Here is a 15,693-nt window from a genome sequence, read left to right on the forward strand (position 1 = left end):
TTAATCTAGGATTCTAACTTGTCTTTGGGTGTCCAGAGCCCATGCTGTTTACAATCTGGTACGCTATTCTTCTGATAAACATCCAGGAAGGGTTGAGGTCCCAAAATCCAAGTCAGAGTACAGAGCAAGATTGAAAGTGTTCTGTATGGTGGCATGAGAAGAGGGGTAAAAGCTGGGGCACATGGGATTTAAGGTAAAGAGCTTTCTTCTGGTTCACATTGTCCAGGACTAAGGAATTTGATTTCTCTGACCATCCCTGAGGCCATGCCCTGGGAGTAGGGTTAGAAGGGTCCCCCAGGCTGAGGGTCAGGTCTGTACTTTTTGTCCAGCCGCAAACATAGATGAAAATTAGGAATCAGAGAAGAAACCTCTAGGATTAATGCTAGATGCTCATGGAGGTACCACAAAGCGTAATTCACTCTGAACCTCCTACACACAGTCATTGATGTAACAGACCGATCACAGAGCTCATTCACTTCCAAATACACTGCCAGGTGCTCTCATGGGATTGGAACCTAGAGAGGGTTGAAACTGCTGATGGAAATTCATCAGCCTGGGCTGTTGAGTGAGTTGTAAGACACAGACTTCACTTACCGACCGGAGTAGTATTTATATGCACTATTAACAGGGATTTTATGTTCCGTGGAATTGCTTCTCTTTCTCAGTCTAAGTTTATTTTACATATATTTTAGAAATATTTGACAACTACTCCAAAAAACAGACAGTGGTGGATCTAAGTCAACGAAGCTTCCATGTTGTATTCAGTTCCTGGCTAATGAGAGATTTATGTGTGTTCGGTCTCAGGGCAGAGATGAGAATGATGAGGATCTTTCAGCTAAAGAAAACATGTTCAAGTGACAATATAATGGTGAAAGAGTATACTCAAGCTAATAAATGTCACTCGGAAAAGTAGTGAGCCAGCTTTATCTCTGTGTTGCCACTGTCAGAGTGTGCACATTTTTGATCTGAATATTTATAGCAATAATTTAAAAAGTGTGATCCCTAGACCAATAGCATGAGAGTCAACTGGTAACTTGAAAATGCATTCTCAGGCCCCACACCAAACCTACTGAGTTAGAAACTCTGGAGGTGGGGACGAGTCTTCCAGGAGACTGTGATGCAACAAGTTTGAGAAGCACTGATCTGCAGCATTATACCATTTAACTGTCAGAGCAGCTATATGAGTTAAGTATGATCATCTTTGTTTTACAGAAGAGAAATCCAAGAAATGTCAAATTAATGAAAAGTGTCATGTCCAAGATCACACAGCTAGTAACTGGCAAAATTGAGATTAAAATTCATCGTTATAAGGCTCCAGAATCTATATACCATGCTACTTCCAGATGATTTTAACTATCAACTGCATTTAATTATTTAATCCATTTGAACATTTTCTCTAGAGATAATTATATCATATATATTTGATAATATATGTTTATTTTGCTTTTCATGTAGCACTGAAATGATATAATACGCACATGGGGGAGGCAATAACTCCACTTCCATCCTCTTAGGGTCCCAGTTGGGCTGGAAGATTAAGTTGACACAAGACAGATTAACAGGAAAAAAGCACAAAAATTTATTTAATTACAGTTTTAGGTGGTACAGGAGCTCTCATAAAGAAGTGAAGACTCAGAGAAGCAGTTAGAGTCTATCACTTACATACTGAATTGGACAAAGAATAGCAAATTGTGAGATGTGGTATGACAGAGGGGCTTGGGCTAGGGTAGTTAACTGGGTAGAGAACTGACTAGGAAGGTAAGGGTTAATTTAACCAAATTTATCTGTAAAGATTTCCCTTGGCCTCAACTTCCCATCCTTGATAAGAATGATGCTTTCCTTCTGGTATAGGGAGAACATTTTTTCACATGGGAAATTTATTTCCTGCTTTTAAAAAGTAGAATGAAGGTCAGAGTGATCTTCCTGCATCTGGTGTTTTTTTTTTTTTTCCTTAAGTACCTTTAGTTGAAAATAGTCAATATGCTGGAGCAGCATATCTTGGGGTGGCTTGTTCATAACTCCTTCAGGAGCCATCTTCTGCATGGAATGATCTGGAAAATCTTTCAGATCAACCACTTCCCTTCTATTTCCCTTCAGTTCTTTTTCTTCCATAATTTATTGTGAAAAAATTTCAAAGCTACAAAGCTTGAAAGAATAGTCTAATAAACACCATTAAATTTTTTACCCAGTTTCCAGATATCATTTTGTCACTTTTGCTTTATTTCTCTCTATGTGTATATATAGGTGTATGTTTGTGTATTCCCCACACACACTTTCCTGAACTATTTGAAAATAAGCTGCAGATATTATAACAGTTCATTTCTAAATAACTCAGCATGTGTCTCTAAGAACAAGAGTTTTCACTTACATAATCACGATATTAGTATGCCCAACAAGTTTAACATTGATTCAACAATATAATCAAATATACAGTGCATATTCAAGTTTCCCCTATTATTATTGAGACAGAATCTTGCTCTGTCACCTAGGCTGGACTGCAATGGTGCGATCTCTGCTCCCTGCAACCTCTGTCTCCCAGGCTCAAGCAATTCTCCTGCTTCAGTCTCCTGAGTAGCTGGGATTATAGGTGGCCACCACCACACTCGGCTCATTTTTGTATTTTTAGTAGAGGCAGCATTTCACCATGTTGGCCAGGCTGGTTTAGAACCCCTGACCTCAAAAGATCCGCTCGCCTCAGCCTCCCAAAGTGCTGGGATTACAGGTGTGAGCCACTGAACCCAGCCAAGTTTCCCCAATTATTAAAGAGAAAGTCCCAAATATATATATATATATATATTTTAAATTCAAGATCTAATGAAAGTCATGCAACGTGTTTTCCTGTTGAGGAATTTTAATCACCTCTGTTTGTTTGTTCACTTTCATGCCATTGACATTTTTTGGAGTGTGGATTTGTCGTCTCATAGAATGTCCCACTTCCCATTTGTGCACTCCTGTTGCATCTCATTAGGAGGCACATGATATCTGGACCATTACTGATGATAAACAGTTGGTCATTTAGTTACGTGATGTACAATAGACCTTTGCAATAAAAGTACCCGTTGCCCTTGTAAATAAAAAGTAGTCTGTGAGATGATGCCTTGAGATCATAGGACTATATTGTTCTTCAAAAACTTCACTCAATGGTGATTTTTCTAAATCTATTACTTCTACATTTATTATCTGGCATTTTTCTGTAAAGAAGACCCCTCATTGTTTTTTCCTTTTCCCCCTCCCTCATTTTTTGTATGCATGTATGTACATATGTGTTATCACCATTTACTTTGATTATTCTTAATATTATCTTTTTATTTAATGTATCAGTTTAAGAAATCTATTACTGTTTTTGGAAGCAGAGATACATCACACATTTTGATGAGCAATGTTCACTCTATGGCCACTGGAGTTAATACCTAGATAGAAAAAATAGAGAAGATTAGATAATTTGTATGTCCAATGGATGGTTCAGCCCTTCATTGTTCCAGTCTCTATCCTTTCTTACAACTTCTTTGAGGTTTTTTTTCTTGCTCTGTCTCCCAGGCTGGAGTGCAGTGACGTGACCTCAGCTCACTACAACCTCTGCTTCCCAGGTTCAAGTGATTCCCCTGCCTCAGCCTCCCAAGTAGCTGGGATTACAGGCACCCACCACCATGCCCAGCTAATTTTTGTATTTTTAGTAGACGGGCTTTCAACATGTTGGCCAGGCTGGTCTCGAACTCCTCACCTCAGGTGATCCACTTTCCTTGGCCTCTCAACGTGCTGGGATTACATGTGTGAGCAATCGTGCCCAGCTTCTTTGAGGTATTTTTGGGCGGCATATAGGAAACAACGGCCGGAGAAAATCTTTTACGTTTGAATTTTTTCAAATTCTTGTAACAGTAGCCTGCTTTTAAAAGATCTGCTTAGAATTTGGGTCACAGACTTGATGTCTGGTGGATTTCTACATCTCTGTAAGTTTAGTCATCTTTCAGAAGTATTATATATATACACGTGAGTATGGCATATATCAATATGCTTTATATATATACTCATACATTTAACTTTTATGAGAAAAAAATCTTTATACAGTCATGTGTCACTTAACGATGGGGGTACATCCTGAGAAATGCATCAGTAGGCCATTTCATTATTGTGCCAACATCAGAGAATATACTTCCACAAACCTAGATGGTATCTTGTATTCTGCAGGTAGGTTATATTGATAGCATAGCCTATTGCTCCTAGGCTACAAACCTGCACAGCATGTTACTGTACTGAATATTGTGGACAATTGTCACACAATTGTAAGTATTTGTGTATCTAAACACATCTAACATAGAAAAGATACAGTAAAAAATACAGTATAAAAATAAAAAACTGTATACCTGTATAGGGCACTCACCATGAATGGAGCTTGCAAGACTGGAAGCTGCTTTGGGTAAGTCAGAGAGTGAGTGGTGAGTAAATGTGAAGGCCTATGACAACACTGTACACTGCTGTAGACTTTATAAACACTGTATGCTTAGACTTAATTTATTAAAAATATTTTTCTTTCTTCAATAATAAATTAGCCTTGGCTTACTGTAAACTTTTTCTATATCAACTTTTTAATTTTTTTTATTATTCTTATACTCTAAGTTTCAGGGTACGTGTGCACAAAGTGTGGGTTTGTTACATATGTATGCATGTGCCATGTTGGTGTGCTGCACCCATTAACTCGTCATTTAGCATTAGGTATATCTCCTAATGGTATCCCTCCCCCCTCCCCCAACCCCACAACAGGCCCCAGTGTGTGATGTTCCCCTTCCTGTGTCCACGTGTTCTCATTGTTCAATTCCCACCTATGAGTGAGAACATGCAGTGTTTGGTTTTTTGTCCTTGCGATAGTTTGCAGAGAATGATAGTTTCCAGCTTCATCCATGTCCCTACAAAGGACATGAACTCATCATTTTTTATGGCTGCATAGTATTCTATGGTGTATATATGCCACATTTTCTTAATCCAGTCTATCATTGTTGGACATTTGGGTTGGTTCCAAGTCTTTGCTATTGTGAATAGTGCCACAATAAACATACGTGTGTATGTGTCTTTATAGCAGCATGATTTATAATCCTTTGGTTATATACCCAGTAATGGGATGGCTGGGTCAAATGGTATTTCTAGTTCCAGATCCCTGAGGAATCGCCACACCGACTTCCACAATGGTTGAACTAGATTACAGTCCCACCAACAGTGTAAAAGTGTTCCTGTTTCCCCACATCCTCTCCAGCACCTGTTTTTTCCTGACTTTATAATGATCGCCATTCTAACTGGTGTGAGATGGCATCTCATTGTGGTTTTGATTTGCATTTCTCTGATGGCCAGTGATGATGAGCATTTTTTCATATGTCTGTTGGCTGCATAAATGTCTTCTTTTGAGAAGTGTCTGTTCATATCCTTTGCCCACTTTTTGATGGGGTTGTTTGTTTTTTTTTCTTGTAAATTTGTTTGAGTTCATTGTAGATTCTGGATATTAGCCCTTTGTCAGATGAGTAGGTTGCAAAAATTTTCTCCCATTCTGTAGGTTGCCTGTTCATTCTGATGGTGGCTTCTTTTGCTGTGCAGAAGCTCTTTAGTTTAATTAGATCCAATTTGTCAGTTTTGTCTTTTGTTGCCATTGCTTTTGGTGTTTTAGACATGAAGTCCTTGCCCATGCCTATGTTCTGAATGGTATTGCCTAGGTTTTCTTCTAGGGTTTTTATGGTTTTAGGTCTAACGTTTAAGTCTTTAATCCATCTTGAATTAATTTTTGTATAAGGTGTAAGGAAGGGATCCAGTTTCAGCTTTCTACATATGGCTAGCCAGTTTTCCCAGCACCATGTATTAAATAGGGAATCCTTTCCCCATTTCTTGTTTTTGTCAGGTTTGTCAAAGATCAGACAGTTGTAGATATGTGGCATTATTTCTGAGGCCTCTGTTCTGTTCCATTGGTTTATATCTCTGTTTTGGTAGCAGTACCATGCTGTTTTGATTACTGTAGCCTTGTAGTATAGTTTGAGGTCAGGTAGCGTGATGCCTCCAGCTTTGTTCTTTTGGCTTAGGATTGACTTGTCAATGTGGGCTCTTTTTTGGTTCCATATGAACTTTAAAGTAGTTTTTTCCAATTCTGTGAAGAAAGTCATTGTTAGCTTGATGGGGATGGCATTGAATCTATAAATTACCTTGGGCCGTATGGCCATTTTCATATTGATTCTTCCTACCTATGAGCATGGAATGTTCTTCCATTTGTTTGTATCCTCTTTTATTTCATTGAGCAGTGGTTTGTAGTTCTCCTTGAAGAGGTCCTTCACATCCCTTGCAAGTCGGATTCCTAGGTATTTTATTCTCTTTGAAGCAATTGTGAATGGGAGTTCACTCATGATTTGGCTCTGTTTGTCTGTTATTGATGTATAAGAATGCTTGTGATTTTGCATATTGATTTTGTATCCTGAGACTTTGCTGAAGTTGCTTATCAGCTTGAGGAGATTCTGGGCGGAGACAATGGGGTTTTCTAGATACACAATCATGTCATCTGCAAACAGGGACAATTTGACTTCCTCTTTTCCTAATTGAATGCCCTTTATTTCCTTCTCCTGCCTGATTGCCCTGGCCAGAACTTCCAACACTATGTTGAATAGGAGTGGTGAGAGAGGGCATCCCTGTCTTGTGCCAGTTTTCAAAGGGAATGCTTCCAGTTTTTGTCCCTTCAGTATGATATTGGCTGTGGGTTTGTCATACATAGCTCTTATTATTTTGAGATACGTCCCATCAATAACTAATTTATTGAGAGTTTTTAGCATGAAGGTTGTTGAATTTTGTCAAAGGCCTTTTCTGCATCTATTGAGAAAATCATGTGGTTTTTGTCTTTGGTTCTGTTTATATACTGGATTACATTTATTGATTTTTGTATGTTGAACAGCCTTGCATCCCAGGGATGAAGCCCACTTGATCATGGTGGATAAGCTTTTTGATGTGTTGCTGGATTCAGTTTGCCAGTATTTTATTGAGGATTTTTGCATCAGTGTTCATCAAGGATATTGGTCTAAAATTCTCTTTTTTTGTTGTGTCTCTGCCAGGTTTTGGTATCAGGATGATGCTGGCCTCATAAAATGAGTTAGGGATTCCCTCTTTTTCTATTGATTGGAATAGTTTCAGAAGGAATGGTACCAGTTCCTCCTTGTACCTCTGGTAGAATTCGGCTGTGAATCCATCTGGTCCTGGACTTTTTTTGGTTGGTAAGCTCTTCATTATTGCCTCAATTTCAGATCCTGTTATTGGTCTTTTCAGAGATTCCAATTCTTCCTGGTTTAGTCTTGGGAGAGTGTATGTGTCAAGGAATTTATCCGTTTCTTCTAGATTTTCTAGTTTATTTGCATAGAGGTGTTTATAGTATTCTCTGATGGTAGTTTGTATTTCTGTGGGATTGGTGGTGATATCCCCTTTATCATTTTTTATTGCGTCTATTTGATTCTTCTCTCTTTTCTTCTTTATTAGTCTTGCTAGTGGTCTTTCAATTTTGTTGATCTTTTCAAAAAACCAGCTCCTGGATTCACTGAGTTTTTGAAGGGTTTTTTGTGTCTCTATTTCCTTCAGTTCTGCTCTGATCTTAGTTATTTCTTGCCTTCTGCTATCTTTTGAATGTGTTTGCTCTTGCTTCTCTAGTTCTTTTAATTGTGATGTTAGGGTGTCAATTTTAGATCTTTCCTGCTTTCTCTTGTGGGCATTTAGTGCTATAAATTTCCCTCTACACACTGCTTTGAATGTGTCCCAGAGATTCTGGTATGTTGTGTCTTTGTTCTCCTTGGTTTCAAAGAACATCTTTATTTCTGCCTTCATTTCGTTATGTACCCAGTAGTCATTCAGGAGCAGGTTGTTCAGTTTCCATGTAGTTGAGTGGTTTTGAGTGAGTTTCTTAATCCTGAATTCTAGTTTGATTGCACTGTGGTCTGAGAGACAGTTTGTTATAATTTCAGTTCTTTTACATTTGCTGAGGAGTGCTTTACTTCCAAGTATGTGGTCAATTTTGGAATTGGTGTGGTGTGGTGCTGAAAAGAATGTATATTCTGTTGATTTGGGGTGGAGAGTTCTGTAGATGTCTATTAGGTCTGCTTGGTGCATAGCTGAGTTCAATTCCTGGATATCCTTGTTAACTTTCTGTCTCGTTGATCTGTGTAATGTTAACAGTGGGGTGTTAAAGTCTCCCATTATTATTGTGTGGGAGTCTAAGTCTCTTTGTAGGTCACTCAGGACTTGCTTTATGAATCTGGGTGCTCCTGTATTGGGTGCATATATATTTAGGATAGTTGGTTCTTCTTGTTGAATTGATCCCTTTACCATTATGTAATGGCCTTCTTTGTCTCTTCTGATCTTTGTTGGTTTAAAGTTTGTTTTATCTGAGACTAGGATTGCAACCCCTGCCTTTTTTTGTTTTCCATTTGCTTGGTAGATCTTCCTCCATCCATTTATTTTGAGCCTATGTGTGTCTGGGCACGTGAGATGGGTTTCCTGAATACAGCACACTGATGGGTCTTGACTCTTTATCCAATTTGCCAGTCTGTGCCTTTTAATTGGAGCATTTAGCCCATTTACATTTAAGGTTAATATTGTTATGTGTGAATTTGATCTCGTCATTATGATGTTAGCTGGTTATTTTGCTCATTAGTTGATGCAGTTTCTTCCTAGCTTTGATGGTCTTTACAATTTGGCATGTTTTTACAGTGGCTGGTACCGGTTTTTCCTTTCCATGTTTAGCGCTTCCTTCAGGAGCTCTTTTAGGGCAGGCCTGGTGGTGACAAAATCTCTCAGCATTTGCTTGTCTGTAAAGTATTTTATTTCTCCTTCACTTATGAAGCTTAGTTTGGCTGGATATGAAATTCTATGTTGAAAATTCTTTTCTTTAAGAATGTTGAATATTGGCCCCCACTCTCTTCTGGCTTGTAGAGTTTCTGCCGAGAGATAAGCTGTTAGTCTGATGGGCTTCCCTTTGTGGGTAACCCAACCTTTCTCTCTGGCTGCCCTTAACATTTTTTCCTTCATTTCAACTTTGGTGAATCTGACAGTTATGTGTCTTGGAGTTGCTCTTCTCGAGGAGTATCTTTGTGGTGTTCTCTGTATTTCCTGAATTTGAATGTTGGCCTGCCTTGCTACACTGGGGAAGTTCTCCTGGATAATATCCTGCAGAGTGTTTTCCAACTTGGTTCCTTTCTCACCATCACTTTCAGGTACACCAATTAGAGGTAGATTTGGTCTTTTCACATAGTCCCATATTTCTTGGAGGCTTTGTTAATTTCTTTGTATTCTTTTTTCTCTAAACTTCCCTTTATGCTTCATTTCATTCATTTCATCTTCCATCGCTGATATCCTTTCTTCCAGTTGATTGCATCAGTTACTGAGGCTTGTGCATTCGTCACGTAGTTCTTGTGCCATGGTTTTCAGCTCCATCAGGTCCTTTAAGGACTTCTCTGCATTGGTTATTCTAGTTATCCATACGTCTAATTTTTTTCAAAGTTTTTAACTTCTTTGCCATTGGTTTGAACTTCCTCCTTTAGCTCGGAGTAGTTTGATCTTCTGAAGCCTTTTTCTCTCAACTCATCAAAGTCATTCTCCATCCAGCTTTGTTCCGTTGCTGGTGAGGAGCTGCGTTCCTTTGGAGGAGGAAAGGTGCTCTGATTTTTAGAGTTTCCAGTTTTTCTGCTCTGTTTTTTCCCCATCTTTGTGGTTTTATCTACCTTTGGTCTTTGATGATGGTGACGTACAGATGGGTTTTTGGTGTGGATGTCCTTTCTGTTTGTTTGTTTTCCTTCTAACAGTCAGGACCCTCAGCTGCAGGTCTGTTGGAGTTTACTGGAGGTCCACTCCAGACCCTGTTTGCCTGGGTATCAGCAGTGGTGGCTGCAGAACAGCGGGTATTGGTGAACCGCAAATGCTGCTGCCTGATCGTTCCTCTGGAAGTTTTGTCTCAGAGGAGTACCCGGCCGTGTGAGGTGTCAGTCTGCCCCTACTGGGGGGTGCCTCCCAGTTAGGCTACTCGGGGGTTAGGGACCCACTTGAGGAGGCAGTCTGCCAGTTCTCAGATCTCAAGCTGCGTGCTGGGAGGACCAGTACTCTCTTTGAAGCTGTCAGACAGGGACCTTTAAGTCTGTGGAGGTTATTGCTGTCTTTTGTTTGTCTGTGCCCTGCCCCTAGAGGTGAAGCCTACAGAGGCAGGCAGGCCTCCTTGAGCTCTGGTGGGTTCCACCCAGTTCGAGCTTCCTGGCCTCTTTGTTTACCTGCTCAAGCCTGGGCAATGGCGGGCACCCCTCCCCCAGCCTCGCTGCTGCTTTGCAGTTTGATCTCAGACTGCTGTGCTAACAATGAGCGAGGCTCCGTGGGCATAGGACCCCCTGAGCCAGGTGCAGGATATAATCTCTTGGTGTGCTGTTTGTTAAGCCCATTGGAAGAGCGCAGTATTAGGGTGGGAGTGACCCAATTTTCCAGGTGCCATCTGTCACCCCTTTCTTTGACTAGGAAAGGGAATTCCCTGACCCCTTGCACTTCCTGTGTGAGGTGATGCCTCGCCCTGCTTTGGCTCATGCACGGTGCGCTGTGCCGACTGTCCTGCACCCACTGTCCAGCACTCCCCAGTGAGATGAACCCAGTACCTCAGTTGGAAATGCAGAAATCACCCGTCTTCTGTGTCACTCATGCTGGGAGCTGTAGACTGGAGCTGTTCCTATTCGGCCATCTTGGCTCCACCTCCTCAACTTTTTAATTTTAAAAAACTTTCTCACTCTTTTGTAGTGACACTTAGCTCAAAACACAAACACTTCATACAGCTGTATAAAAATATTTTATTTCTTTGTATCCTCATTCCACAAGCTTTTTTCTATTTTTAAAATTTTTATTTTTTACTTTTTAAAGTGTTTTTGTTAAAGACTAAGACACAAACATGCACATTAGCTTAAACCTACACAGGGTCAGGATCCTCAATATCAATGTCTTCCACCTCCATATCCTGTCACACTGGAAAGTCTTCAGCAATTATAACCCACATGGAAGCTGTCATCTCCAATAACAATTCCTTCTTCTGGAAAACCTACTGAAGGCTGTTTACAGTTAACTTTATACAAATATAAATAGAAGGAATACACTCTAGCAATGAAGATATAGTAACCAGTAACATAGTTGTTTATTATCATTATCATGTACATAATTTATTACATAACGTAGTAATAAGTAGTAATTACATAATTACATGATGTAATAATTGTATACATTCTGTAATAATAATTGTATGTGCTAGACTTTTATAAAACTAGCTGTGCAGTAGGTTTGTTTACACCAGCATCACACAAGAATAATGTGTTGTGCTACACTGTTAGCAATGGCTGCAACGTCACTGGGCGATAGGAAATTCTCAGTTCCATTATAACCTATGTGGTCCATCTTTGAAATGTTGTTATGTGGTGCATAAATGTATTTTCTGTGACAATATGAGTCATCATCAGGTTTTAATATTGCTAATATTGTTTAATATTGCTATGGGGAAAATAAATAACTAAGATGCAAATGATCTCTTTTGTTTCTTGAATAAAATTGAGAAAACAAATCACAACAATTGGAAGCAACTTTCAGAATATGTGCAAAATATAAACACAATGAATTGTGAGAAAGTAAATTTTGTGATACAGTGGATGAATTGGGATTAAAAGTGGTAAATTACTATTTTGATAAAAATGTCATTTAAAAATTATTTTAAAAAGTCACTTCATGATCATTTAGACTTGCTCTTATGAATTAATAATGTACATATATTTTAAAAGTATGTGTAGGAAAACAAGAAAAACTGGGAAAAGTAATTTAGGATTATTTATAAAGTGGAAATTAAGAAAAATTAGAGAAGCTGAGTGTAATGAATTTCCAGCTATGCCCCTTCTGGTTTTCTTGAAAATTATGTCTTCTTAGTGCTGGGAAAACCCAGAAAAAGACCAAATCTGTGGTTGAGTAAGTGGTTTGGATATTAGAAGTGTATCTGCAAAACTTCAAAACAAATCTGTTACTTTAAATCAAGCTCCCAAGAATTTATTTCTTCAACTTTTTCATCATTCTTCCATTTAAGTGTGTATATCTGGGGGATACATTGTCCTGTGCAGCTCACTTAGCTGGAGAAAATGTTTCAGAGTTTGGATTTTTCAGAATTTGAGGCAAACCATCTTGATCTTTCAGGTGCAAACAGTGTCACCGTGAACTACTGGACAGGATGTACCCTGCACACTGGCTCCTAGCCAAGAAGAAAATGGGGCCAAACGGATTGCCAAGCCATGCACTGGGAGCAGATGCTTCACGTGGATCAAGAGGCTTCTGCCCAGAGGGCCTTTCTATAATTTATGCAAAGAACACAAATGGGCTGTTAACCCTAGCCAAATCTACAACATTGATGCAATTTGGAGATATTCTCCATTAAGTGCTATTCCCACATGACTCAGGAAGAGAGGTGGCGAGTGGCAGATGAAGGCGATGCTCCTCCATTAAAATGACAGGTACTGGCAGGGCGCAGTGGCTCACACCTGTAATCCCAGCACTTTGGGAGGCCGAGGCAAGTGGATCACCTGAGGTCAGGGAGTTCAAGAGCAGCCTGGCCAACATGGTGAAACCTCGTCTGTACTAAAAATACAAAAATTGGCTGGGCGTGGTGACACACACCTGTAATCCCAGCTACTTGGGAGGCTGAAGCAGGAGAATCACTTGAACTTGGGAGGCTGAAGTTGCAGTGAGCTGAGATTGAACCACTGCACTCCAACCTGGGTGACAGAGTGAGAAATCATCCAAAAAAAAAAAAAAAAAAAAAAAAAAAAGACAGGTACTGATTATTGATGATCACTTTTCATTTTCCCTGGTCCCTCCAGAAGAGGAAACTGGTCTTACAAAGCTTTTTCCAGTAAAAAACAGTGCTTATGTTTAAAGAAATATTTCTAGTATTCAAGTTGAGTGACACGTTATTAATGGAATCTAGTTTGGGGGATTTCTACTTTGAGTTTTAGTTCCTATGATACTGGAATTTCAAAATAAAAGCACTTAAAAATATCCTTTATGGTAAGTTTTTAACTACCTAAGAATTTTTTATTCTTTATTTTTACTCTCTGCAATCATGTTAGGACAGCTTAAAATAATCAATGGCTTTTGAAGGAAAATCTTTACCAAAAAAGGTTAAGGGACTGAAAAAGGAACAACAGTAACAAACCTTAAAGAAGCGTTTATTGCTATTTTCTTTTTCTCTTTCTGTTGCTAGCTATTTGATCTTTCCTAATATAGCTGATTCTCACTGTTACCTCTAATTTTTTTCTGAGAGCTTTTGAAAACTATTTCTTTGAAAGAAAGTAAGGCAAAGCAACAGTTTAGTCTGTTTATCAGACTTCAATATTAAAATATTAGAAGTACTTTTGGAAAACTTCTTAACAAATCTTCTGTTACTTTAAATAAAGCTCCCAGAAATTTATTTCTTCAACTTTTCCCCTATTATTTCATTAAAGTGTGTATATCTGGAGAATACATTGTCCCCCAGATATTAATTAATTAAGCAATTTAGTTAAGCATTAATTAAGCAATTTTATATTTGTTTTTATTACAGTTGCTGTTCTGGTCAGAATGATTGCCAATGATAGCAACCTCTAACAAACACTGCACTGAAGTTAATTGTCTTTACATCCCTGAAGGGGGAAACTGGGAAATGATGGTGATTCTTTGAAAATAGTCATTCCATTTTTTTTTTTAGATATGCCTGTTGAGCTACCTTTTCCTTGTATACATGTGAGCAACAATATTTCTAGGTATAGATCATTTATAGCTAACCAAGTTCCCACAATCTCTGCAAACCTTTGTACTTTTCTTTTTTCTTTCTTTTCTTTTTTTTTTTTTTTTGGTTTTTTTTTGAGACGGGGTTTGTCCAGGCTGGAGTGCAGTGGAGCAATCTCGGCTCACTGCAACTTCTGCCTCCCAGGTTCAAGCAATTCTTCTGCCTCAGCCTCCCGACTAGCTGGGATTACAGGCATGTGCCACCACGCCTGGCTAATTTTGTATTTTTTTTTTTTAGTAGCGACGTTGTTTCACCATGTTGGTCAGGCTGGCCTCGAACTTCCAACCACAGGTGATCTGCCCACCTTAGCCTCCCAAAGTATTGGGATTACAGGCGTGAGCTGCTGTGCCCGGACACCTTTGCACCTTTGTACTTTTCAACAGCTGTGCCTGTTCCACTCCCTCCCCAACCCACTGCCCCTCCACCTCCAAAGGCCTCCTTACCATGCCAGATAGACCAGATGATTGTTTCATCTTGTTGAATCTTAACTTGCTACCCTGGAGATACTGCCTACATTCTACCCTGGAGATACTGCCTACATTCTACCCTGGTTTGTAGTTTTCAGTGTGATGATATACCTGAGGCAAGTGTGTTGGGGTAACTAAGAGTAATCTTTTTCAAATTGGTTTATAATCAAGCAAATTTCTCACTGGAACTCAAAGAGAGGGAGACAAGCTCCTTCTTTTCTCACACCTCCAGTTGGGGTATGTTTTTTTCTCGTTACGAAGAAATATTCAATACTTTTAAAACTTGGCCAATTGCCAGATTCATGATGCCACTGTAAAGGTTTACAACGGATTTTTGGAGGTAGCTATATTTAAGACTTTGCTATTATAACATCAGAGGCTGTTAATTCTCCAATGTCCACTATAAAATAACAAAGTGGCGATTTTGTTGCTTTCTTACAGAGTCAGCAGAGAGGCTACAACTGAGGAGCTTTCATAAATCACAAATCACAGGATTTACAATTTGGGGAACTATAAGAGGAGATAAACAACAAACTGAGGTTTTTGAGATATTGGGAATGTTGCTGACCTGTAATACTGATTCCTATTGTGAATTCCTTTTATTATGTACTTATTTTTTCATAGTAGTAGATATTATACTGCCTATATTCCTTTCTGATAATTTTGGGAACATAGAACAGCAAGATTTTGATATTTGTAACATTTAGCATCTGAGTGCAAGTGACAACCCCAAAGCAAGAGTGGCTTAGAGAAGGCAGATATTTATTTCTCTGTCAATTAACAGGAGGCAGAAGCAGGCAGTTTAATAAAGAGACACCACAATCAGGTGGGACTAAGGTTTGTTCTACCAGGTCTTTTTGTCACCCTAACATGGTTTCCAACTCAAACTCCAAGATAGCTGCTCCAGATGGAGACCTCACATCTGCACTCCCTGCAGGAAGGAGGAAGGGTCTGACCTTTCCTTTAAGGGGGAACACTTCCTGTAGCTGGTACACAACACTTCTACTTAGATCTGACTGGCCAGAATTTAGTCCTATGGCCATGTGTCTCTATAAGGAAGACTAAAATGTAAATTTTATTTTGGACAACCATATGCCCAGCTAAAAATTAGTGGTTCCATTACCAAAGAAGTAGGAGAGGATGAATATTGGGAAACAATTAGCCGTCTCTGCAATAACCTTTTAATAGTTTGCTCTAGATGCTATAGAGGCTAGATTTTTCCATTTTGTTTTGTTTCTTATTGATTTTCTTAAAGAAAAATACTAGATATTTACGTATAAACAATACTATTTTTTTCTGTCATATTTGCGACTAATAAATTTCAATGCTACTTTTTAAAGTCTTTTAAATTCAGTTAATGTTTATTAAAGGAGAGATATAAAATGCTTATATTGTCAAATT

The 15,693-nt window shown here is 38.9% G+C and overlaps 1 long non-coding RNA gene across 1 annotated transcript in view; it reads left to right on the forward strand.

Annotated features, from left to right (window-relative positions):
• Positions 1-12,567, forward strand: part of LOC105374430 (uncharacterized) — a 29,063-nt gene extending 16,496 nt beyond the window's left edge. Inside the window, exon 3 of the long non-coding RNA XR_925263.3 lies at positions 12,199-12,567. This is a non-coding gene — a long non-coding RNA (uncharacterized LOC105374430). The remainder of the gene's footprint in view (positions 1-12,198) is intronic.
• Positions 12,568-15,693: the final 3,126 nt, after the last annotated feature.

This window comes from Homo sapiens, chromosome 4 (genome assembly GCF_000001405.40).
Source record: "Homo sapiens chromosome 4, GRCh38.p14 Primary Assembly".
Taxonomy (NCBI): Eukaryota; Metazoa; Chordata; class Mammalia; order Primates; family Hominidae; genus Homo; species Homo sapiens.